The 26,551-nt window shown below is 50.4% G+C and overlaps 1 long non-coding RNA gene across 1 annotated transcript in view, besides 2 other annotated features; it reads right to left on the bottom strand.

Annotated features, from left to right (window-relative positions):
• Positions 1-26,551, bottom strand: part of LINC01169 (long intergenic non-protein coding RNA 1169) — a 103,609-nt gene that overhangs the window by 11,103 nt on the left and 65,955 nt on the right. Inside the window, exons 2-3 of the long non-coding RNA NR_110372.1 lie at positions 10,244-10,334; positions 6,242-6,355 (exon numbers count right to left, since the gene is read on the bottom strand). This is a non-coding gene — a long non-coding RNA (long intergenic non-protein coding RNA 1169). The remainder of the gene's footprint in view (positions 1-6,241; positions 6,356-10,243; positions 10,335-26,551) is intronic.
• Positions 687-1,244: an enhancer, noted in NCBI's record as "H3K27ac-H3K4me1 hESC enhancer chr15:66965790-66966347 (GRCh37/hg19 assembly coordinates)". NCBI's record gives its function as "activates a minimal SCP1, AML or CMV promoter by ChIP-STARR-seq in naive H9 embryonic stem cells {active_cell/tissue: H9 hESC(naive)}" and the evidence as "EXISTENCE:reporter gene assay evidence [ECO:0000049][PMID:30033119]".
• Positions 1,245-1,803: an enhancer, noted in NCBI's record as "H3K27ac-H3K4me1 hESC enhancer chr15:66965231-66965789 (GRCh37/hg19 assembly coordinates)". NCBI's record gives its function as "activates a minimal SCP1, AML or CMV promoter by ChIP-STARR-seq in naive H9 embryonic stem cells {active_cell/tissue: H9 hESC(naive)}" and the evidence as "EXISTENCE:reporter gene assay evidence [ECO:0000049][PMID:30033119]".

The raw sequence follows: 26,551 nt of genomic DNA, 5'->3' as shown, positions 1-26,551 counted from the left end.
GTCAAGGGATATGTCTGACTTTATCTTATAGGTGGGGATTTTCAAGCAGGGTTGTGGCAGGATTCTACTTATATTTTCTCTGGATCTCTCACAGCTGGTGAGCAGTGCAGGGGATGGGTTGGAGGCAGAAGATTCTGACTAAAGTTGAGTAGAGATAAAGCATTTATTTATTTATTTATTCATTCATTCATTCATTCTGTCGCCTAAGCTGGAGTGCAGTGGTACCATCTCAGCTCACTACATCCTCCACCTCTTGGGTTCAAGCAATTCTCCTGCCTCAGACACCCGAGTAGCTGGGATTACAGGCACACACCATCATGCCGGGCTATTTTTTGTATTTTTAGTAGAAGTGGGGTTTCACTATGTTGGCCAGGCTGGTCTCGAACTCCTGACTTCAAGTGATTCGCCTGCCTAGGCCTCCCAAAGTGCTGGGATTATAGACGTGAGCCACTGCGCCAGGTCGAGAAAACATTTATATGCTTTCGTTCTTGAACTGGGTGATGGGGACACAGTTTTTATATTTTTTATGTTCTTTTTTAATGTCTGAAATAGATCATAATTTAAAAATTAATAAAATAAATTTAAAAATTTAATAATAAAATTAATAGCACTGTTACTAAGTGAATCAAAGCTCCAACAGGGCAAAGATAACAATTACCACTAATGATGAAGCTTATGCACTTAGTAACAGTGCTTAATAGGCAGTATTCCTAGGACTTTACAAATATACACTCTTTTAATCCTCATGACAACCCTATGAGATAGGCGGTTCCCAAATTACTGATGAAGAGAATGAAGTACAGAGAAGTTGAGTATCTGGCCCAAGGTCACCCAGTCAGTAGGATGGAGAGCTGGGATTCAGGCACTGCACTCTTAACCGGGAAGGCGGGGCTGGCGCAGGGGGCGTGGCTATATTGGGCTGAGTCTGAGATGGGGCGGGCTTGGGGCAGGGTTGGGTCAGGGTTGGGGCTGGGTTGGGGGGGTGGGGTGGGGCCTCTGTAGGTGAAGACAGTTAAATCCGGGGCCCGACCGGAAAGCGCCGCCCTCCTGCTCTTCTGCTGGGCCTCGTTTTCCTTCCCACGTTCTGGGAGTCTTAGCTGTTTGCTACCCGTTTCCCAAGCAAAAACCGCAGTGCCCTTGCAAGAGCATGGGCCGGATGGACCCCAGAGCGGGTGCCTGAGGAGCCTTTCTTTTCCAGGCTCCTGGTGCCATGGCAACCTAGACCCAAGAATCTAGGCTCAAGGCCTGGAAGCGACCCCAACTGTGGACGTCGCCTTCCGAGCTTCAGTTCGCTGTCTAAAATATGGGAGTGAGGGGCCTTTCCACTGCTAGTGCCTCAGAGGCCTCAGAGAGGAACCATACCTCTCACCTCCCACCCCTGCTCCTGCCTTCCAGCAAAACTTCCGGTGATTTTCACATTACACAGAGCAGCAGCAACAGCAGCCCCTGAGAACTTGTTAGAAATGAAAACTCTCAGCCTTACCTCAGACCCACTGAGTCAGGAACTCTGGAAATAAGGTCCTGCCGTCTGATTTAGCCAGCCACCCCCAGGATTCCAACGCATGCTCAAGCTGGAGAACCACTGCTCTAACATGTCATTTCCGTAATTCTGGCCTAAAGCAAGACTCTTATATTTCTTGTGCTCAAATACCATCAATGGCTCCCTAGTGCCATGGAATCAAGCCCAAGTTGTCCTGACATCCAAGGCCTTTCACAACTTAACGCCCATTCTACTCCACCCCCAGAAGAATTAGCCCCAGTGACTCCTCTAGACAACTACATCATTGTGTTCCCCAAAGCACACCCTGCATGTGTTTCTAGACGCTTGTTAATGCTGTTCCCTTGGCCTGGAATGTCCTTCCTTCTAATCCCCTTTTGACCAAAGCTTCAAGTTTCTCTCTTCCAGGAAATATTCCCAGAATGTTTCTACCCTTGAGGGTGCCTCCCTGCTAGGAGTCCTGAGTCTTTGCACTCCTGCCCAGGGATAAGCATTGATAGATTGGTGTTTGATTTCATTATGGGCTGAATTATACCCTCCCAAAATTCATACGTTGAAGCCCCAACCCCCAGTACCTCAGAGTGTGACTATATTTGGAGGTAGAGCTTTTAAGGGGTTCAAATGAGTTAAAGTGAGGCCATTAGCCAATCTGGCTAGTGTCCCTCATAAGAAGGGGAAATTTGAATTCACAGAAAACACCAGGGCTGTGCACCCACAAAGGGGTGACCCTGTGAAGAGGCAGCAAGAGAGTGGCCATCTGTGAGCCAGGGAGAAACGCATCGGAGGAAACCACCCCTGCTGGTGCCTTGATCTTGGACTTCCAGCCTCCAGCACTGTGAGGAAATTACCTCTGGTTAAGCCCCCAGTCTGTGGTTTTGTTATGGCAGCCCTGGCAAACGAATACAGATTTTTTCTTTTTTCTTTTTTTTTTTTTTTTTTGAGACGGAGTCTTGCTCTGTCGCCCAGGCTGGAGTACAGTGGCGTGATCCTGGCTCACTGCAACCTCCGCCTCCTGGATTCAAGCGATTCTCCCACGTCAGCCTCCCAAATAGCTGGAATTACAGGCACCCACCATCATGTCCGGCTAAATTTTTTTGTATTTTTATAAAGACGGGGGTCTCACCATGTTGGCTAAGCTGGTCTCGAACCCCTGACCTCAGGTGATCCACCTGCTTTGGCCTCCCAAAGTGCTGGGATTACAGGCGTAAGCCACCATGCTTGGCCAGATACAGATTTCCTAGAAGTTCATCATGTTTCTCCTGAGTTCTCTGCCTCCCCTTTCTCAGTCTCACTCCTCCTGGGGCCGCGGAGGCAGGCTGTGCCATCACTCCCTTGTGTGACCCTGGGGCCTGCATGACATGCCTTTAGTGGATGGGGATCCCCGGCTCTCCCAGGGTAGGAATGGAGGGACACAGCAAAGGCGAATGGACAGCACCTACTCGCTCTGTGTCCCAGCCTCACACACCGTTTCTCTCTGAGGAACAGTGTGCTTAGCATTAAAAAGGCTCGGACACCAATGTGCTCACAGAAGTGATTTCTAGTTGGTGGATTGTGCCTTCCTCGTTCCCTGCCTCTTCCCGCCTTCCTCAACTCAAGTTACATTTGTGATACAGCAACATCGGTGGAAGTGTCTGACCTAGGAAACTAGAAGCCATGGTGCACAGAGTCCTGAAAATCCGGGCTCCAGTCTTGGCCTCTGAACCGCTGTGTGGCCCTGGTTTAGTCACAACCCTCTCTGGGCTCCAGGCTCCCTTGTGAAAGGAAGGGTCTGGATGAGCAGACGCCAAGCAATTCTGGGGGAAGATGGAAGGCTCCGGCTGATCACAGCAGGCGGTGCGGTGGGAGGCGGGCACCTCAGGCTGGAGAACAGAGGAGGAGCAGCTGCACAGTGGACATCCTGGAAAACCAAGCCAGGAGGCGGGAGTGGCTGGGGCAGGTAGCGGGAAGCTGTGGGAGGAGCAGAGCAGAGGAGAGGGGCGGGGCAGAGGAAGGGCGGGGTAGAGGAGGGGTGGGATAGAGGAGGGGCGGGGCAGAGAGGGGCGGGGTAGAGGAGGGGTGGGGCAGAGGGGGGCGGGGCAGAGGAGGGGCAGACACACCTGAGTCAGGAAAAGGACTCAGGGGAGGGGAAGCCACAACCTGCCCAGGCCCTGCCTCCCTAACTTCGGCCCTCGCCACACTCCCCTTGTGTCGTCCTAACCTTCTTCCCATTCCTGGAACGTGTTTCCCACCTCAGGGCCTTTGCCCTTGCTATTCCCTCTGCTAAAAATGTAGACCTAGAAGGAGCAAACACGTCCAGCACTTACTAATGTGCCAGGCACTGTCTCAGCGCTTCACATACACTCACGCATTTCACAACCCTGCAGGTAGAAACAATCACTATGCCTACTGTGCAGATGAGCAAACGGAGGCACAGAGAGAAGCAATTTGCACAAGACCTCATGGTAGTGGCAGAGCTGGGATATGAAACTCTGGAATTCCACTTTTCCCTCATTCCAGTGGCAGTGCAAAATGAGATCACACGTGTAAAATGCTTAGAACAGTGCCTGAGACTTAATGAATGCCTAAAAAGTGTAAGTTGTGACTGGGTCTGTATTAAGATGACCATGTCATGTAAAATGTATGCAATGCTCTCCCGCCTGCCTCCCACCACCCCTTACCCTCTGCAGTTTGTGGCCCTCTGACATTTTGCACGTCTTTGTTGGTCACTGTTATCCGGATTGTTCTTCAGATTGTGAGCTCCATAAAGGCAGGACTGTCTTGTTCATAGCTGTATCCCTTAGGTTCCAGCACAGCACCTGGCACATAGTAGGGACTCGGTGAAGGTTTGTTGAGCGACTGACTAAAGGAATAGGAATGTGGGCGTGAGATGGGGAGGCTGGCTTCATAGCCAGACGTGGTGGGGAGGGTGTGGGGCTGGAAGCTGGGAAGAAGATCAGATGATTTCAGCTTAGAGAGGTTTTGACAGAACCAAATATGGCCTCCATTGCTACGGCAAGAGGAAGGCCAGGCAATCAGCCGGCCACTGGCTACCAGGAGCCACTCAGAGCCCTCCCTGCCCCTCCTCTCCCACATTCAGGGAGCCACCAAGGCCGACTGAGACTGCTTCCTAAGTAGCCTTGAGTCTGTCCCATTCCCCATCCCCAATCCCCAGACCCAGGGCCCATCCTCCAATCCCAGGGCACAGCCTTGGCCTTCTCACGGACACGCTTGCCTCCAGCCTGCACATTCTCTCCAACCCACCGCCCACTCCATATTCAGAGGGGACTTTCAGAGGGTCCCACTACTGCCATGATAAAGTCCACACTCCTCAGTGGGCCTACTAGCCGCGTGATGAGCCGGCTCCAGCCCTTCTTCTCACTTTTCTCCTGCAAGCCTCTGCATCCCCCCTACACACCGCAACTTCCAGCAATACCGTGCTGCCAGCAGACCAGGCGATTTCTCACCTGCCCTGAGCTTAGTCCAAGATGCATTCTCTGCCAGGAGTGCTCCTACACCACCCCCAACACCACCCCGCAACCTGTCCAGCAGAGATGTGCTCACCTCCCAAGGCTCAGCTTAAGCCTCACTGGATCTATAGCCTTTCCTGAATCCCCAACTTCAAGAGGAATGATCCTTGTCTCCCACGGTATGCTCCCCGTCCCGCCTCTGCACTTATTTCCCCACACAACTATGACTCCCGGCTAGATGGTTCACCACCTAAAGACAGCAACTATGATGTGGTCATCTTAATACAGATAATACCAGTTACAATGTACACTTTTTAGGCATTCACTAAGTCTCACCAGCCTGACCAACCTGGTGAAACCCCTCTTTACCAAAAATACAAAAAAAAATTAGCCAGGCATAGTGGTGCACGCCTATAGTCCCAGCTACTCGGGAGGCTGAGGCGGGAGAATCGCCTGAACCCAGGAGGCAGAGGTTGCAGTGAGCCGAGATCACGCCATTGCACTCCAGCCTGAGCAACAGACCAAGACTCCGTCTCAAAAAAAAAAAAAAAAAAAAAAAGTCTCAGGCCCTGTTCTGAACATTTTACATGTATGAACTCATTTACTCTTTCTAACAACTTTGTGAGGTGAGTACCATTATCCCCATTTTGCAGCCAAGGACACTGAGGCACAGAGAAGTTACGTAACTCACCCTTGGTCACACACGTGGTAGAGGGCAAATCCAAAACTTAGATTCAGGCCCTTGAGACTCCAAAGCCAGTGTTCTTTCCTCCATGCAGCCACTGGCAGGTCTGCTCCCAAATGGGCCCATGGGTGGAATTGAGGCCTGGAACAAGTCTGGCCTCCTGATGGGCTGGCCAGCAACTCTTTCTGATCACACACAGTCCTGCAGGGCCTCACAGCCAGCATGCCCAGATGGAGCATCAGTGGACCTGAAGCCTGACAACTGGATGAAAGCCTATGGAACCCAAGCCCATGAAATCCCCAAATCTTCTGGGGCTTCCAGCACAGGGAGAGAGCTGGCAGGGCGGTAACTTCTGGAATATGTTAGTTTGCTATCGCTGCCCTACCAAATTGCCCCAAACTTAGTGGCTTAAAATAACGCAAGTATCATCTTACAGTTCTATAGGTCAGAAGTCTGGCTGGGGGCTGTGGTTTACGCCTGTAATCCCAACACTTTGGGAGGCCAAGGCAGGTGGATCATCTGAGGTCAGGAGTTCAAGGCCAGCCTGGTCAACATGGTGAAACCCCATCTCTACTAAAAATACAAAAACTAGCCAGGTGTGGTGGTACATACCTATAATCCCAGCTGCTTGGGAGACTGAGGCAGAAGAATTGCTTGAACCTGGGAGGCGGAGCTTGCAGTAAGCCAAGATCATACCTGTACTCCAGACTGGGCAACAGAGCGAGACTGTCTCAAAAAAAAAAAAAAAAAAAAAAAAAAAAAAAAAAAAAAAGAAGAAGTCTGACATGATTCTCTAACACCAAGGTGTCAGTAAGCTTCTATATCTTCTGGGCGCTGTAGGGGAGAATCCATTTCCTTGTCTTTTCCAGCTGCTAGAGACTGCCTGCTTTCCTTGGCTCGTGGGCCCTTCCTCCATCTTCAAAGTCAGTGATAGGGAACCAAGCCCTCTCACGTGGCATTCACCCAGACTCTGCTTCCCTTATCCTATCCCTTTCTCTGACTCTTCTTCTGCCCCCCTCTTCCATTTTTCAGGATCTGTGTGATTACATTGGGTCCACCCAGATAATTCAGAATAATCTTTCCAATCTAAGGTCTACTGATTAGCAACCTTAATTCCATCCACAACCTTAATTCTCTATTTCCATGTAACTGAATGGTTCCATAGGTTCCAGGGATTAGGATGTGGACCAGTTGCAGGGGCATTATTCTGACCACCCCACAAGTGTTACTTAAACCTCCGCATCCCTAAATGTCTGTGAAATCACTGGAACAGCCTCAAACTTGCACAGTGGGACAGCCTGGGCCTCAGTTTCCTCAAAGTCTCCAGTGTTGGGGCAGATAGGAGGAACATGCCTCCGTCAGAGAAGTCCCTCTCAGCCCTCCAGGAGGACAGCACATGGGGCCGGCCAAGGACTTGCAGTTGACCATTTGGCAAGAAGAAAGTGACCCCTCAGAGCATTTTCACCCATTACCAACATCCCACTCATCCTGAGCGCAAGGTCATGGAGAGGTTCTCACCCCCACTTTAAAATGCAGGAAAGTGAGTTTTGGATGGGTGGGGTTGCTTGCCCAATGTCTCACATGTAGCCTACATACACATGCTCTGAATTATACACTCATTCTCCTGCCACCCTGCTTCTCACAGTGAGGTATTTGCACCACCCAGCTGGGCAGGGTCCTGGACGTCAGATAAATGACCCAGCTTCCTCACTGTAACTTTTCCTCAAGCATAGGTTATCCGTCATTTATTCAGTATATTTTTAATCTCAGATATTGTAGTTTTCATCTCTAGAAGTTTCCTTTGAATTTTTTAATGTTTTCTATATCTCCACTTTAACATGTTCAGTCGTTCCTTTAGCTTCCTGAATTTATGGGATCCAGTTATAAAAGCTGTTTTAATGCCTTTTATTTATTATGTATTAATGACCCTCTTTTCATTGTGTGCCTTATTTTCCTTCTCCTTTGAATGCCTGATAATTTTGATTAGATTCCAGGCATTATGGATATTACCTTGTTAAGTGAAATTATTTTATTTTCTAAATTTTTATTTTATTTTATTTTTTGAGACGGAGTCTTGCTTGTCACCCAGGCTGGAGTATAGTGGCACGATCTCAGCTCACTGCAACCTCTGCCTCCTGGGTTCAAGCCAGTCTCTTGCCTCAGCCTCCCAAGTAGCTGGGATTACAGGTGCATGCCACCACGCTCAGCTAATTTTTGTATTTTTAGCAGAGACGAGGTTTCACCATGTTGGCCAGGCTGCTCTCAAACTCCTGACCACGTGATCCACCTGCCTCGGCCTCCCAAAGTGCTGGGATTACAGACATGAGCCACCACACCCGGCCTAAAATTATTTTAAGATTAATTATGAGATGTGGTTAAGTCACTTGGAAAGAGTTTGATCCTTTTAGGTCTTGATTTTAAGCTTTATTAGGCAGGACAAGAGTAGCATTTAGTCTAGGGTTGTTTCCCTACTACTGAGATGAGACCTTTTGTGGGGCTGTAACTGATGTCCCATGAGTTATGCTATTTTACATTCTGGCTGTTGGGAACAGGCACTATTCTGAGTCTTATGAGAGCTCCAAGCACTGCTCCTTCTAATCTTTTAGAGTTCTTTCCTGGCCTCAAGTAGTTTTCTCACATGCATTTGCTGGTCATTACTCAGCTGAATACTAGAAGAGACTGTGACTTTCCCTTCCTATATAGTGCTCTCCGTCTCTTCTCTCCAGGACCCTTCTCTGTGAATCCTAGCTACCTTGACTTCCTTGGACTTTCAGTTCCATCTCCTCAACTCAAAGCAACCGCTGGGCTCTGCCTGGGTTCACCGTCCCTTTGCTGTGGCCTGCAAATGCTCTCCCGGCAGTAAGCTGGGGTAATGGTAGCTCATCTCATCTTTTTTCTATCATTCAGGTATCATATCCTCCATTGCCTGACATACAGTGTTTTTAGAATCCTTGTTTCTTTTATTTTGTCAGGTGTTTTTTTTTTTTTTTTTTTTGAGGCAGAGTCTCACTCTATTGCCCAGGCTGGAGTGCAGTGGTGCAATCTCAGCTCACTGCAACCTCCGCCTCTCAGGTTCAAGCAATTCTCCTGCCTCAGCCTCCTGAGTAGCTGGGATTACAGGCACCCACCACCACACCTGGCTAATTTTTGTATTTTTAGTAGAGATGGTGTTTCACCATGGTGGTCAGGCTAGTCTCGAACTCCTGACCTCATGATCCGCCCGCCTTGGCCTCCCAAAGTTCTGGGATTACAGGTGTGAGCCACCACACCCAGCCCTTGTCTGTTTTTTCAGTTGTTTCAGGTGACAGGGTAAATCCAGTTCCTGTTACCCGAAACTGTCAATAATCAGAAATCTAAATGTATAACAAAAACAGTACTATTTACAATAGCATTTAAAATGTTAAAAACAGATAAATCTGACAAAAGGTGTGCAAGGCCTATATAGTGAAATCTAAAAAACTCTGTGAATAGAAAATTAAAGCATATATAATCATAAATAAATAAATGGAGAGATATACCGTCTTCATGTATCAGAAGACTCAATATTACTAAAATGCCAATTATTTTCAAATTGACACATAGATTCAATGCAATCCCAATCAAAATCTCAGCAGGCATTTTTTTCTTGAAATTGACAAGCTAATTATATAATCCATATGGAAATGCATAGTCTAAAATAGCCAAAACAAGTCTGACTTATTATAAAGCTATAATAATCAAAACAGTGCGGCATTGCCCTCAAGATAGACAAGTAGACCAATGAAGCAGAGCACAGAGTCCAGAAATTGATCTACACATAAATGGCCAATTGATTTTTAACAAAGTTTCCAAGATAATTCAATGGGGAAAGGATAGTCTTTTCAATAAATAGTGCTGGCCAGGCATGGTGGTTCACACCTGTAATTCCAGGACTTTGGGAGGCCAAGGCAAGAGGATCACTTGAACCCAAGTTTGAGACCAGCCTGGGCAACATAGTCAGACTCCCTCTTAATGAAAAAAATGAAGAAGAAGGAGAAGAAGGAGAAAATTATCCAGGTACGGTAGTGTGCACCTGTAGTCCCAGCTATTCAGAAGGCAGAGGTGGAAGGAACACTTGAGCCCAGGAGTTGGAAGCTGCAATGAGCTATGATAGCACCACCGCACTCCAGCCTGGGCAGTAGAGCAAAACCCTGTCCCACAAAAAAATGGGGGTGGTGGGGTACTGAATAATTGGATATCCATATGCAAAAAAAAAAACAAAACACCACCTGAAGTACCTTGCACCATATATAAAATTTAACTCAAAATAGATAATACACCCAAATGTAAAACCTAATACCATAAAATTTAGAAGAAAAAATAAGAGAAAATCTTTGTAACTTCAGATTAGGCAAAGATTTCTCAGATACACAACACAAGCACAGTCAATACAAGACAACAAATGATAAGTTGGATTTTAGCAATGTGGAACTTCTGCTCTTTGAAAGACATAGTTAAGAAAATAAAAAGACAAGCCACAGACTAGGAGAAAATGCTGGCAAATCAGATATTTGATAACTTATACCCAGAACATATAAAGAACTCTTAAAACACAATAATAATAAAACAAATAAGGCCGGGCACAGTGGCTCATACCTGTAATCTCAGCACTTTGGGAGACTGAGATGGGAGCATTGCTTGAGCCCAGGAGTTGGAGTTCAGCCTGGGCAACATAGGGAGACCCCACCTGTACAAAAAATAAAAATAAGATAAAAATTAAAAAATAATTTTTTTTTTGAGACAGAGTCTCGCTCTGTCACACAGGCTAGAGTGCAGTGGCACAGTATCGGCTCACTGCAACCTCTGCCTCCATTCAAGCAATTCTCCTGCCTCAGCCTCCCAAGTAGCTGAGATTACAAGCACCTGCCACCGCACCCGGCTGATTTTTGTATTTTTAGTAGCAACAGGGTTTCACCAAGTTGGCCAGGCTGGCCTTGAACTCCTGACCTTAGGTGATCCACCCGCCTCGGCCTCCCAAAGTGCTGGGATTACAGGTGTGAGCCACCGTGCCTGGCCCCGGTTATTTTTAAAGGCAAAAAATTTGAACAGACACTTCACCAAAGAAGTACGAGGTAAGCAAATACAAAGATGCTCAATATCATTAATCATTAGGGAAATGTAAATTAAAACCACAATGAGATATCACTACATACCTATTAGAATGCCTAAAACCAAAAGAACTGATCATACTAAGTGCTGGTGAGGCTATGGAGCAACTGGGATTCTATCACACTGCTGGTTGGAATGAAAATGGTACAACAAAATTGTCAAACAGCTTAGCAGTTTCTTTGGAAAGTTAAAGCATATCAACTCTATGATCCAGCCATCAGTTCCTAGGTATTTACCCAGGAGAAATGAAAGCTGCTTATGTTCATATAAAGACTCATACACAGGCCAGGTGCAATGGCTCATGCCTGTAATCCCAACATTTTGAGAGGCCGAGGCAGGTAGATCACTTGATCCCAGGAGTTTGGGACCAGGCTGGGCAACATGGTGAAACACTGTCTACACACACACACACACACACACACACACACACACACACACACACACACACACAAAATCACCAGCAGCTTCAGCTACTTGGGAGGCTGATGTGGGAGGACTGCTTGAGCCTAGGAGGTGAAAGCTGCAGTGAGCCATGATTGTTCCACTGCACTCCAGCCTGGACACAGAAGACCCTGTCTCAAAAAAATAATTTTTAAAAAACCAGCGAATGTATAGTAATGTAACGCAGATCAGTGGTCACCTGGAGACTGGGTTGGAGTGGGGATGAGTTTGCAGAAAGGGAGGCAAGGATTATAAAGTGGCACAAGGAGACTTTTGGCAGCAATGGGCATGATCATTTTCTTGATTATAACGATGGTTTCATGAGTGTAAACATGTGTCAGAACTTATCACATTGCGCACTTTAAGTATGTGGAGTTTACTGTATGCCAACCACACCTCAACAGAGCTGGTTTTTGTTTTTGTTTTTGTTTTTAATGAAAAAAAGAAATACAGAGATAGACCTGACCTGGACTCTGCTGCCAGCACTCTGGTGGGGTCGGGGTGCGGAGGTGGGGGTGGTGGGAAGGCCGTGCACTCAATCAAAGCCTGAGGCTGGAAAAGTGAAGCTGGAAAGGCAAAGTGTAGGCAGAGAATGGTGGCGGGGACAGAGCTGAAGGCCTGGGGCCTCCTGAGTTTCAGAAGTCACCCTCCCATGTGAGAGGTGGGCTCTGCTTTCTTTCTAACGGCCTTCTCTCTCCAACATTCTTTCATCCTGAGAAGCTTCCAGCCAAAAAGGACTTCCTGAAATTGGGCAGGGCCGCCTGAGGAGGCAAGAACAATAGCTGAGCTCTGACTATGGGGCCTGGCTCCCTGCACACATTATTGTATTTAACCCTCCCATTAACCCAGTATTAGCTAACTATGGTCCCATTTGACTAATAAAGAAACTGAGGCTCTGAGAAGTGACTTGATTGGATAATAGCTGGTGGAGCCTCCCAGTCCTAGCACACTACTGCTGGTGTTAACGCTCAGGCTGCAGGGCCAGGCCTGGCCAGGGCTGTTGGGAGTCTCTCCTCCACCCTGGCGCTCTTAGTTTTGAGATCCCCACTCCATATCAGGCATATTAAACCCACAGATCCCATCGTGAATGTGATTTAACTGTGATGATTAATTTAACTTGCAGTTTTCTTGTTATATTTGGGAGCTAAGAGGTGTTCTTTTCCCCAGTTTCAAACATTTTCTTAAACTCTAAATTCTAATGGCAAAATGGTCCTGTTCGTTGGGGGTCTTTGGTGGGGTATGATGGGGGCTCTGGCTTTGCAAGCAAGGATGTGAAGACCCAGTAAGAGGCTTTGGGCTCAAATACAGGAGTGTCTAGTTTTGGGGGACCACAAGGGTCAGGGTTGAGTGCCAGGAAGCCTAGCTGGGTACACATGCCCTGGAATGAGACTGGCCTGCTGTGTATCCTGGCACCATTGCACATTCCTGTGTGATCTTGGAATGGTGAATGTCATCTCACTTCTCTGACCCTCAGTCCCCTCTTTAGTGAGGTCAGGATCATCATCCCTACCTGAGAGAGCCAGGGACTGTAACGTGGTTGGTTGGATATTGTTTAAGGTTCTTTGCTGCAGGGAGACCTATGGGGACTCAAGAACTCAGGTCCGCACAGGCGCCAGAAACCCCGTCCTGTCCACCATTTCGGCGCCCTCCCTGGACTCCGGCTGTTTTCCTTCAGAGTCATCGTACCTTATCAAGTCACAAGTCCCTGAGTCACCCCCAGCCCCACGCCAGCTCTCCGGCTGTCCCTAACACACTTCCTGTGGCCCTCCTCCGCCCGCCCCATATTGTTCCCTGCCCCACCGCATTCAGGGACGTTTTGTCTCCCTGGGCCTGGCGACTGTGAGCCGCTGGGAACAGGAACTGCATAGAGGCCTCTGGTCATTCCCAGGAAGTCCGCATGGAATGGACGGGGACGTGTCAAACGGCAGGCCTGCCTCCCCAGCCTGGACTCCGGCTCCCAGCCGCTGTCCCCCACCCCATGTGAGAAGGCAGTCACAAGATCACAGCAAGGGACACCAGCCCGGCCTTGGGCTCCTGGTCTAGGCCTTCATCCACCATCATAGCAGGGTCCTGGATGCCCCTGTTGTGCCTTTATGATTTCTGGATGTGGGGAGGGCTGGGGCCTGGGGAAGGAGCCAGGCAGCCACGGCACTGGAGGAGGGAGCACTGGATCAGATATTCACACACGTAGGTTTGTGCATCTCCACAGAAGGGGCTGCCCTTGCTTTTACCTAAATAAATGGCATATAGGTTCAAATCCCTGCCTCCCCTTTCATAGCTGGGTGCTCTTTGGTATACTTGTATACCCCCTCGTGCCTCAGTTTCCTCCTCTGACAAATGGGGATAACAACACACCTAACGCATCTGTTGGAATGTTTGGGTAAAGTGTCTTCCCCTCCTGTTCCACGAACTCTTAGAGTGAGCCACAACCTGCCACAGGCCCAGACTGAGAGGTAGCTTTCGCTTTCTAGTTGGAGGGGAATGGTCTCCCAAGAGGGACCTTAACCACCTCTCCTGAAGCATGCCCTGCTTGCTCTGCTCAGTGCAAGGCCTAGTCCCCTTGAGAACTCCCAGGCCTTCAACTGTGCCATTGGTGGCTGTGCCACACGTGAGAAGGTCACTGTCACATAATGGGAACAGCTACATTTACAGCGGGCTTCGGGAGTCACACAGATGATCTCAATTAGTCTCCACAGCCACCCTGTGACATTGACAACGGAACCCTCCATTTTACAGGCGGAAAGGAGGCTCCCAGAGTCCACTGCATGAGCTCTGTGTAAACGACTAAGGGGTGGGTGCTTAGGGAGCTGCCCACACGTGCATTCTGATGTGAAGGAAAGCCCAAAGTAAATGGAATGGCTGGGCGTGGTGGCTCACGCCTGTAATCCCAACACTTTGGGAGGCCGAGGCAGGCAGATTACTTGGGCCCAGGAGTTCAAGAACAGCCTGGCCAACATGGCGAAATCCCATCTCCACAAAAAATACAAAAATTGGCCGGGCGCGGTGGCTCACGCCTGTAATCCCAGCACTTTGGGAGGCAGAGGTGGGCAGATCACGAGGTCAGGAGATCGAGACCATCCTGGCTGACACGGTGAAACCTCGTCTCTACTAAAAAATACAAAAAATTAGCTGGGTGCGGTGGTGGGCACCTGTAGTCCCAGCTACTTGGGAGACTGAGACTGGAGAATGGCCTGCACCTGGGAGGCAGAGCTTGCAGTGAGCTGAGATCGCGCCACTGCACTCCAGCCTGGGTGACAGAGCAAGACTCTGTCTCAAAATATATATATAAATACATATATATATATATAAATTAGCCAGGCATGATGGTGCACACCTGTAGTCCCAGCTTCTCCAGGGGCTGAGGTGGGAGGATCGCCTGAGCCAGGGAGTTTGAAGCTGCAGTGAGCCATGATCATGCTACTGCACTTCAGCCTGGGCAACAGAGTGAGACCCTGTCTGAAAAAAGAAAGAGAGAGAGCGGGGTGGGGAAGAAAGGAAAGGGAAGGGGAGGGAAGGGAAGGGGAGGGGAGGGGAGGGGAGGGGAGGGGAGAAAAGGAAGGAAGGAAGGAAGAGAGAGAGAGAAAAGAAAGAAAATGGAATGACTCACTAATGGTCAGATTTCATAGCAGCTGGAGGTGAAGAAGAGGAAATTGAGGGATGGACAGAGGGCTTTCCCCAGGCTTTTGAAACCTGGTCCCCCAGGTGATCGTTGCCCTTCTATCTATAGTTAGACCTGAAAAAGCAAATGTTGCACCCTTGCTGACCTACTCTAGGAAGGGCAGAGGGACAGGACTCAGTCCAGGGTCTGTACTAGACTGGTTTTCCACCTCTTTTGCTTTTATAAGTTCAGGCAAGAGAAGAGGCGGGGAGAAAAATCTGCTACTAATAAGGAAATCAATTACTTGGTGTGAGTGTCACAAAATGTTTCAATAAAGATTTGTCTTTTGGGTTTCTTTTTTTTCTCCTCCTTTAATTTTTTTTCCCCCAAAGAGACCTGGCTGGGGCCTGAACACGTTTCCAGCATCTTCCAGGCTCCCTGTCAGGGAGAGGCCATGCTGCCATGTCTGGAGCTAATTACCAGGGGGAACACACTCCGCTGGCCTGCTGGCATCCTGGGTACCCACAGGGTCCCCTGCTCTGCCCCAGCCCAGACATACCCATCAGTAGGTCAAGGAAGAGGGTTCGGTCCCCATCCAGGTCCTGAATCAGGTCCAGGCTGAGATGAAGCTTCATTGCCCTCCAACACACACAACACACACGGACACAGTCACTCCAAATCACCCATGCAGTCACACACACACACTCACATGTGCACACAATTATACACAATAACATACTCCTAGACAGTCCGAATTGCACACAGATCCACATACCACAATCACCCACACATGTACATACACTCATGCTCACCCCCAATACACACATATAGACATTCAGTCACCCTTCCCATACACATATATAGTCACACAATCACACCTACATTCCCAACCATCCACACCTAGTCTGTCATCCACATATAATGCACACACACACACACACCCTAACACATACAATTACACCCACTTACACACCATTCCCCACATACAGTCACACACTTCTAATTACAGTTGCTCAGTAATCACACATACACACCCCTAATCCTCTATAATTTCACACGCAATCACACACATTCACACACATACACTTGATGTGAAAATTCAAGAATGTCTGAGCTAGGATGGGTCTTCAAAGTCTTCTATTCCAACCTTCCTTATATTACCAGTGGGGAAACTGAGGCCCAGAGAGAAGTCGTGACTTGCAAAAATGGCAGCTCTCGGCCGGGCGTGGTGGCTCACGCCTATAATCCCAGCACTTTGAGGTCAGGAGTTCAAGACCATCCTGGGCAACGTAGTGAAACCCTGTCTCTATTAAAAATACAAAAATTAGCTGAGTGTGGTGGTGGGTGTCTGTAATCCCAGCTACTCGGGAGGCTGAGGCAGGAGAATTGCTTGAACCTGGGAGGCAGAGGTTACAGCGAGCTGAGATCACGCCATTGCACTCCAGCCTGGGCGACAAGAGCCAAACTCAGTCTCCAAAAAAAAAAAAAAAAAAAAAAAGAGGCAGCTCTCTAACCTTACCCATCTGGTTCAAGATGTCTTGGGATGGGAAATACTGGCCAGGGAATCTGGGGCTGAGAGATGGGGAGAGGCCGCGGGAGAGAGGAACTCATCTGGAGCCCGGCCCCCAAAGAACTTCAGCCAAAATCTCCTAATGAGGAAATGTAAAAATAATAGGCAGGAAGGAATCCGCAGAGCCCCGTAATTCCCCCAACCCCTGCCCAGCCTTGGGAACAGCAGGGGCCACTGGAAAGACTGTGGCCTTGGTGGAGAGACAAACCCAACTTTCTAAAACTTGGCTCTGCCATTCACTTGTTGGGTGGCCCAGGGCAAGGCACTTCACCTCTCTGAGCCTTGGTTTTCTCAACAATAAAATGAGAATAAAAACTGACCTAACAGGGTTATGGGGAGGGATAACAAGTTCTGTTTCCAGAACATTCAGCACGGTGCCTGGCAGGCAGTAGGTGCTCAACCGATCCTCCCTTCTGTTTCCTGGAGTCCCTTGGTCACGCCACAGTTTTGCTGTGTGACCTGGGTGAGTCCCTTCCCTCTCTGGGCTCTAGTATCCCCATCCAAACAAATCTCTAAGGCCAAATAGCACCAGGCCTCTCTGCTGAGAGACAGTGAGCGGAGTGGGCCTCAGGGGTAACTAAGGTGATGGCCTGGAACTTGTTCCTGAGATCCCAGGACTCTAGGTTGGAGGGGAACAGGGCTATTGTCCTGCAGAGAGAAGAGTTTGCGGGGACTCAGCCTTTGTCAGCCCCAGCTGACAGTGAGGCTGGCAAGGCTGGTATTTGAAATATTCCTCTGAACGGGGGAGAGACGCTGGGAGGTCTCAGGGCAAGCTAGGAGGAGGGATGTGGTTGCCTAGGAAACCATGTGTTTTCACTTTTCTGAGAGAGGGGGAGCCTGAAGAGGAAGGGCCTGGGGTGCACAGAAGTGGAGGGGAATGGGGGGAATGTGTGCCCTTGGGGAGTAAGCTGAGGGGGAAGGGAGGAAGCCAGCGGAGATGGGGCTCAGTGAGAGGCTGGAGGGAAAAGTTTATGGGCCCCAAATGCCTGAGGGCAAGCAGCTGACACAGAACCACCAAGAAGCTTGCCAAAAATACAGATTCCCAGGCCCCACCCAGGACCCACTAAATGGGAGAGCAGGAGGCTGCACGGAGGGGAGGGAAATCTGTGTTATTAACCAGCTCCTGGCCTGGGAACCCTGGGAGGATGTCAGATGGTGTCACATTAGGAAGAAGGACAGTGGGGCTAAGCCTGGCTCCTCTCAGGCCCTCTGTGTCCTCATCCACAAAAACAGAGTGGAGGAGGTTGGAGTAAATTAACCCAAAGGCCTCTCCCCAGGCCACTCCCCAGAGGCGGTAGCAGGGAGGCAGCAGCCTGGGCCCTTGTGACAGGATGATCTGGGCTCAAATTCCAATTCTCCTAGTTACTGACATAGTCTTGGCCAAGTCATTTCCCTGGGCCATAGTTTGCTTGACTATAAAATGGGCATAACACCTATGATTTACCATTTCATGAATGTGGGAGTCAGTTGAGTAATGTGAGACAGGTTCCTCTGTCGTTGCCTTGGGGTTAAGAGTCTCCCCGGCCAGGCACGGTGGCTCATGCCTATAATCCCGGCACTTGGGGAGGCAGAGGCGGGTGGATCACGAGGTCACGAGTTCAAAACCAGCCTGGCCAAGATGGTGAAACCCCGTCTCTACTAAAACCCACAAAGATTATCTGGGCGTGGTGGCACACACCTGTAATCCCAGCTACTCAGGAGGCTGAGGCAGGAGAATCGCTTGGGCCCAGGCAGCAGAGGTTGCAGTGAGCCGAGATCGCACCCCTGCACTCCAGCCGGGGCGACAGAGTGAGACTCCGTCTCAACAACAACAACAACAACAACAACGACAAAGAGTCTCCCCAGTGGGCCCCAGCTTACCCTGACATCTCCACCGACACCAGCCATCCCTCCATCTTTCTAAAGCCCTGCCCCCAAATTCCTCTCGTGGGCCCCCAGACCTTTGCCTGTGCCAGAATCTACCTTCCTGTTCCTACCTTCTTCTTTTTAACCACTCCAGAGCAGCTGAAAGTTTCCCTCCTGGATGGTCCCTGACTTCCCTCCTCCCCCAGGACTCCACAATGCCTGCTCCAATCTTACCCTCCCTGCTCAGCAGCCCCACCCTCTGACACACAGCCACTGGATACCACTGTGGGGACTGCTGAGTGGCTGCATGAAATCTGGGCTCAGATTCACCTTTGGGTATGGGCCCTGCAGGGCTGACCACACCCTTAGATCCTGGATGTCAGGTTACACCACCTCCTCCCATCTCAGGTGTCTTCACCTGAAACCTCCTGGGCTGCTTCAGGAGGCGGAGAGGTGTCTTCTGCCATCTCAGCTCCCCACTTCACGAAGGGAACCCCAAGCTTCAGAACCCTCACTCGATTGTCCTCTGGTGGTATTTGCTCTTTTTCATAGGTGAGGTTCTAGTCCTCCATCCTCTAGGGGCTGAATGAAGGTAGTCTCGGGTGGTGCCCTGGAGAGACAGGATTTCTGTAAGCCGAGATGAAGAGAGCATTCTAGGCTGAGGGACCAGCCAGAGCGAAAGGAGGCCAGTGTGGCTGGGAGCAGAGAGAGGAACCCAATCATTTTTCACTGTGTTGGGGCCTGGGCCCCCACAGGCCTCACTGGAGGTTAGCATGTTCCGGGGCTCAGCAGACCTCGCCTCTTTGCCACGGGCAACGGGCCCCGGGAGAGGAAAGCCGTTCCAGGCCGGGGCTGGGGAGGATCTTGATGGCGCCTGGGGGTGGCTTTAGCCGGTTGGTGTCCTTTTTTGAGCTCTGGGTATTCTTCCATAAAATGGGGATGGGGGCCAGTCGCGGTGGTTCCCACCTGTAATCCCAACACTTTGGAAGGCAGACAGGAGGATCGCTTGAGCTCAGGAGTTTGAAAACAGCCTCAGCAACATAGTAAGACCAGTCTCTCAAAAAAACAAAAAAACAAAACAAAACAAAAAAGGGATGGGGCAATCTCCAAAAAAAAAAAAAAAAAAAAAAAGCCCTCCAGTTCCTCCCACTCCCCACATCCACTGCCAAGGGAGTGGTTAGGGCCTCCTGCCCTCGGGGCGTCTTCGTGACACCAGTCCTACCCTACCACCCACTCCCCAGGCCCCAGGCGCTGCGGGCGGGCTCGGCCCCGCTCTGCAGGACCCCACCACCCCCAGCTTTGCCCTCCAGGAGCCCAGAGGGACCGGCCCGCCAGCGCGGAGCCGGGCCGGGAGCCGGGTGGGGGGAGAGGCCGCCAGCCTGGGAGGCCGGGGCAGCGGGAGACAGCGCGGGGACAGCCCGATAAGGCGGCGGCTCCCGGGCGGCCCCTCCCAGCTCCGCTCGATCACAAAAACCAAACTCAAACATCCGGCGGCGCGGGAGGGGCGGGCCGCGGGAGGGGGTGGGGGCGACCCTGATGCGCCCCACTCAGAGCCGGGATGCCCTCCCCGGGTTCACCCTGGTAGGGCCCTGCCCCGCCCCAGAGAGAGGCTGGGGGCAGTAGTCGACCTACTCAGACAGGCCAGGGATGCCGGGCGCCCCCTCCTTTGTCCCGCGCCTGGTGCTCCAGTTTGGGGAGGGCAGGGGTCCCTGGGAACTTGGGAATGGAGTGGCCTGACGCCAAGGTCCTACGACCCCGCAGCACCGTGGGCTCTCCTGGACTGTGGGAGAGCCCAGCCCTGAGCTGGTCCTGCTGGGGGTCGGGGAGATTCACCGTCCTGACAGGATGGTGGATGAGACCGCACCCTCAGCCCAGCCTGAACTGCGCTGTAAGACCTCGGAAGCAGGTGCGAGGCTGTTTACCAGCATCTACTGACCACACACTGTGTGCCCAACGATTATGATCGTTACCTTTTTAATATAGACAGGAAGCCTGACGGAGGCTGGCACCAGGTGGTTAAACCCCCTGCCCCCTCCAAGAATCACACTGTCCTTTTCCAGCTTCTCATGCAAGTGTCTCAGTGACAACATTTGTCCTATATACTCTCTTTAATCCCTTTGTATCCTTGTCCTCATTCATTAGCACTAATTCATTCCCATGTACTGGGCACCCACTCCATGCCAGGTGCCATGCCTGGTTGCAGTTTATGGAGGACACAGCAGAACTGGCCCCGGTCCCTCTCAATAGTTCACGTTCGAATGAGAAAGGCAGATAAGGCACGTGATTAAAAACTTAGGTAGGCCTGTGAGGAGTGTTTTGTATGTGGCACAGCACGTATAAAACTAGAGAACCTGAACTATGTGGGCGCAGGGAGCGGGTGTTCGGGGAGGCTTCCCTTGGGAGACACTGATTGCTCAGATCTGAGGGCGGGTTGACCCAGGTGAAGGGTGAGAGTGTGGGCCGTGAGGGTCTTCTGGGTGGAGGTGCTGAAGCCAGAGGAGACCCCCACAGATCTGAGAGCGAAAAACAGGCCCCTTGTTCAGAGCAGGGGCCCAAGACGTGAAAGGAGAGGGCAGAAGCCAGAAGGCATGGGCCTCAGTGGTCCACGTCAGGGGTGGTGGCGAGGAGGTAGAGAGAGGGTCGGAGGCGGGGAGTGCCATGACCCGGGTGTGTTTTTCAGAGTCCTCTGGCCATTGTGTGGTGAATGGACTGGAGGGTGAGGACAGAAGCAGGGACACCAACTGGGAGGCTGTGGCAGGGCCCCCCGAGAGAGATGCCAGGGCCTCGGGCTCAGTGGGTCCATCTGGCCTCTGCTTCACCCTCCACTGACCTGCCCTCGACAGGCCCATCAGTGGCCTCCCTGTGGCCAAATCCACACAACCTTGTGTGCAGTTGGGCCCTGCGGGATGCTCCCTCTCTGAACTGCCTTTGTCTGTGTGTCCTAGGGCTCGTGATCGCCAGGTCCCCCTCCCCCTCTGATCACCCTGCCTCTAACACTGGGACACCCCAGCTTCAGGCTCCCTCTTCCCACTGTCTCAAGATTCACCCTTGCTCACAGATTCAACTACCACCTGGACACAACTGACTCAAAAACATCAAATGCCTTCATCTAGCTGCACACTGGACACTCCGCCTGGCTCTCCCTGGCCTCCTTGAAAGCAACCTGCCCTAAAAGGACATGTTGAGATTCCCCTGCCCCTTCCCCCAGGCAGAAACTTAGGAGCATCCCTGACCCCTCCCACTGCCTCTCTCACCCACACCCGATCCCACCAGTCTGCCTTCATATCTCAAGTTCGTGAGTTCCTCCCCCTCCCCACAGACACTGCTTTTCTGAAACACAAATCTGTCTTCCGTCCTCCTCTCTGGCCTGGTTCTCTGGTTCCCCATCATCCTCAGAACCAAGTCCTGGTCTCCTGTTTCTTTTGTCTAGTCAGAGACCACCTCCTCCAGGAAGCCTCCCCAGACTCCTGGCTCCACTTGCTCCCTGTCTTTCTCCAACTTGGTGTTGGTGGTGGATGGGAGAGCCAAGATTGTGCCCTTTCTATATGGTCAGGGCCACTGTGGAGGAAAACGTCTGGCCTAACAGACCTGTTTCCAGGGAGTCATAGCCACAGAAACAGGACATCAGGGACAAACAGAGAGTAGCACAGTGCCAGGCTGGAACAGCAGGATGATCACAGGGGGAGCTTGCTTATAGATGAGGACATCCCCATTGGCCCAGATTCTTCATGCCAACCAGACTGGTCCACATGGAAGTGCTTTGGGAGGCCTCAGGAAAACACTACTCTTTGCCCATCCTTTATCCTGGAAGTACCCCCTCAGACCTCCACTCCTTTCTCATAAGCATTGTCCTCCCCAGAGTCCTGATAAACTACAGATCCTCCAAGAAGAGATGCACATGCTGAACAGTGACTTCTTGCCTGCCTCCTTAAAGGTCAACCCCCAAGATACAGCATCCAAACCCAATCACCTGGTGGGCAGCCAGGGCTATAGCGTGGGAGGGTATCTGTGTTTCCACACTATTTACACAAAGCAAGACCTCGATGAACTCTGTTCACAAACACACATTGGCAGGATTGCCTACAGGGCTGTTCCCCAGAGTGGCTGGCCTGCCAGTTACTTGGTGGGGGGAAAGTTATTTGAAATTCCTACTGCCATAGAGATGTGAGATAACCTGAGGTGCCTTTATCTTACCTTGAGGTTTACAGAACACTCTGCAAACAGGACCACGAGGTCAGGAGGGGTCCTCAGAGCTCTCCTGGTCTAACTCATTGACAGATGGGGAAACTGAGGCCCAGAGAGGGGCAGTGACTTTCTCAGAGCTCCAGAGCAGGCAACAGGCCAGACCGCAGATCACAGGTTCCCAGGCCAATGTTTTCCCTGCTGCCTCAGCACCTGGGCGCAGAAACATTCTGACCATGCTGGGTCTGTGTTTGCAAAAGGTACTGGTGACCTTGCAGTCAGTTAAGTTGTGGGGAAGGCTGAGGGGTCTCTCTTTGATAATTTTTGAAGGGGGTTGGTTTTGAAGACAGCTGGTTTGGGAGAGGGTATAAAGAGATGCCTAGAGATACTTAGGGCTGCATAAATGTATCACTACTGGAAAAAATCGCTAAAACACATGCATACAAACTCATACACAACTGCTATTTTCATTTAGCTGATTTTTTTTTTTTTTTTGAGACCAGGTCTCACTCTGGAGTGCAGTGGCATGATCATGGCTCACTGCAACCTCGATTTCCCAGGCTCAAGCAATCCTCCTGCCTCAGCCTCCCAAGTAGCTGGGACCATAGGCAAGTACTACCACGCCCAGCTAATTTTTGTATTTTTTGTAGAGATGGGGTCTCGCCATATTGCCAAGGCTGTAGCTGATTTTATTTTACAAGTATTCCATAGTTATTGAAGAAAAATTAGAAAATGCAGAAATTTTGATAAAAAATCAAAGAATATAATTTATCCACAAGTCCACATCTGGCAACAAAGAGGCAGTATTGCCAAGCAGTCAGAAGTATAAGCACAAACGTCAGCCTAGCACAGAGTTCAGTCCTAGTTATACCACTTAGCAGCTGTGTGATCTTTAACACGTTGCTTAACTTCTCTGAAACAGTTTCCTCATTTATAAAATGAACACTAATCTAGAGTGGAGTGCTTAGCCTCATGTCTGACATGCAACAACCACAAGACAAAAGGCAGTCATGGTGACACTCACTTGGTGTGTGGCACCCCCATTTTTCAAGATAAATGTAGAGGCCAGGCGTGGTGGCTCATGCCTGTAATCCTAGCATTTTGGGAGGCCAAGGCAGGCAGATCACTTGAGGGCAGGAGTTTGAGACCAGCCTGGCCAACATAGTGAAACCCCATTTCTACTAAAAATACAAAACTTAGCCGGGTGTGGCAGTGCGCACCTGTAGTCCCAGCTACTGGGGAGGCTGAGGCAGGAGAATCACTTGAACCCGAGAGGCGGAGGTTTCAGTGAGCCGAGATCATGCCACTGCACTCCAGCCTGGGGGCAGAGTGAGACTCCGTCTCAAAAAAAAAAAAAAAAAGATAAATATAGAATTAGACCAGAGTAACCTTTGAGTTCCCACCCCACTCAGCTTTTATGATTCCACACATCGATGATGAGTCCTGGGGCAGGGGCTTTCTTTCTCCAGGCCTCAGTTTCCCTGTCTGTATTCTAGGTCCAGGGCTGGAGCAGTGGCTCTCAGGAGTCATTTCTGTCTGCTGGCCAGGCCTGGTGACCTCTGGCACTGGCTGGGTCATCTCTGTGCCCTGGCCGCCGGAGATGAGTCAGACGGCCAGGAGGCTGGCCCAGATGGCTGGTGACCCAGGCAGCCAGAATCTTCAGACCATTGTGGGCCCTCCCTGTCCCACTTCCCCATGGCTCCCATGAGCTTCCCCAGACTAAGGCTGTATTGTACAAGGCAACAGACCAGCCAAACCAAATAAATGGGTACATGCACTTCACCCAGCCCTCCCAGCTGAGCCGCATCAAATACCAACTACCGGCCAGTTTTACCAAGATGCTGAGACATGGTTAGTGGGGGAGGCCTCCCAAGCCACTGACCTTTAGGGTCATCCAGCCATTGACTCCCTCATTAATTTACTCATTCATTCCACAAATTCACAGAGCACCCTCTAAATGTCAGGCATTGTGCTAGTGCTGGGATTCAGTGTTGAGCAAAACAGCCCCTGATTTCAGGTTGCTCCTGGGTGGGCCAGGACATACTTCTCAGTGCACTGCCAAGATACGAGCACTATGAGGTAAGATTCCAGAATAAGGCATGAACTCTTCTAGTTGAAAAGATTGGGGAAGATTTCCCAGAAGCAGTGGCCTTTGAAGCAGGTCTTGAAAGGTGAGGAGGAGTGGGCCAGGCAGAAACAAGAGGCAGGGTATCCCTGGCAGAGGGCACTGCAGGAGCCAAAGCAAGGAGGTATGACAGTGTAATCATTGAAACTACAGGGTGAGCACTGGAAAAGGCTAAAGAGATCAACTTGTCCAGTCCCCTCATGTAACAGATGGGGAGACTGAGGCCTGGGCAGAGCCCAGGTGTGGCTGGCATTGCTCTTGCAGAAGGAGAAGTCTGACAGTTTCCTCACAGATAATGTAAGTCATCAGGTTTACTCTGTCTAAAGCCTTCAGATTCAAGGGCAACTGAAGACAGGTGTCCCAAGCAAAGCCTAGCTCTGCCCAACAGGCCTGCAAGGAATTGTTGGTGTGTTTGTTTTATTTGATTGGTTAGTTATCTAATAAACATGCAGGAACCCAGAGTTCTTTGCTACCCACTGCTTGCAGGTAGCACAGAAAGCAAGAAATAATATGCTTCTTCAGCAAGAGAGCGTTAGGGTACATGTGACTAAGAACCTCCTGAAAGTGAACCAGGTCAGGCACAGGAGCTAAGGCCAGAGAAAAAGCCCCTTCAGGACCCAGCTTCCTCCCAGCTCGGAGCTCCCTCGTCTGCCCCACCGTCGGGGCAGAGCTGTCTCCTGTGAGCAGAGTTGTGAGCAGCCCGGAAAGCAAGGGCCAGCTCATCAGAGACAGGAGGAGGAGACACAAAGCACAGAAACCTCTGCAAAAACTCCCTCCAACGTGGAAGACTGGGGCTTCTGTTTGTTTCTTAAGGCTTCCCAACCTTCCTACAAAGAACACACATGACTTGGATATCAAAGGACATTTGATCGGGGCAGTGGCTCATGCTGGTAATTCCAGCAATTTAGGAGGCTGAGGCGGGTGGATGACTTGAGGTCAGGAGCTTGAGACCAGCCTGGCCAACATGGTGAAACCCTGTCTCTACTAAAAATACAAAAATTAACGGGGCATGGTGGTGCGCATCTGTAGTCCTAGCGACTTGGGAGGCTAAGGCAGGAGAATTGCTTGCACCTGGGAGGCGGAGGCCGGAGGCTGCAGTGAGCTGAGATTGCACCACTGGACTTTGTCTATAAAAAAAAAAAATGACATTACAGGGGAGAAATTGGACCAAAGAGAAATGATGAACAAGGCTACCCAGTGAAGTCACTCCCTAGGTGTGATGGTCTCCTGTTCACCCACTCCTTGCCAGAGCTCCAATCCCACATCAGGCCTCAGGCATACCTGTGTATCTTTGCTCAGGTTATGCCCCTAACCTGGCACTTCCTTCTGCCTTATTCTGAGAACTCCTACCCATCCATCAAAGCCCCCCTCATATGTCCCTTTTTCTCTGATGAGCCTGCCATCCCACCTAGCCTGCCCACCCGGCTTTGGTCGCACCTCTAGTACAGGTGTATTACATTTCCTGGCTGTTTGTCCTGGTTATTCATTGAGAGCTGGGATCAGGGCCATCACTGCCCAACTTGCGCACTATTCTGAAAGGTAGCTTTGTGACTTTGGGCAATGTCAAATGAATGAATGAACAAATGAGTGAGCTTTTCTGATGTCAAAACGTGGGTGATCCCACCACCCCCTCTCAGGAGTTTTTGAGAAGACGGGCATAACCTGATTCCTGACCTTACTGCACAGCCTGTGCTGGGTGGGGGCAGCCAGGGAAGAGAGGAAAGGGGTATGTAGAGGGATGAAGTAACTGAGCTCTAACGCTAGAGTGATGTTTCTCACCTTTTTGTTCATAAGGACTCCTACCCCCCAAAGAATCTTTATAAGTTTTTTTCTAATCGTTCCCCACTACAAAATTCTAACAGTACAGAGATACTGAATATCTGCTCTGCACTCTATGTATATTCATAATTGAAGACTTTTTCTAACCCCCTTCCTGAACCAAGTTTTGCTCCCTTGAGGGCAATATCACTCCCATTGAGAATGCCCATCCTGGGGTGGGCAGTCATCTACACTGGCTCCTCTAACCTTCAGAAC

This window comes from Homo sapiens, chromosome 15, assembly GCF_000001405.40.
Source record: "Homo sapiens chromosome 15, GRCh38.p14 Primary Assembly".
Taxonomy (NCBI): Eukaryota; Metazoa; Chordata; class Mammalia; order Primates; family Hominidae; genus Homo; species Homo sapiens.
Note: the sequence above shows the minus strand (reverse complement) of the source record. Positions and strands in the feature narration are given on the sequence as shown.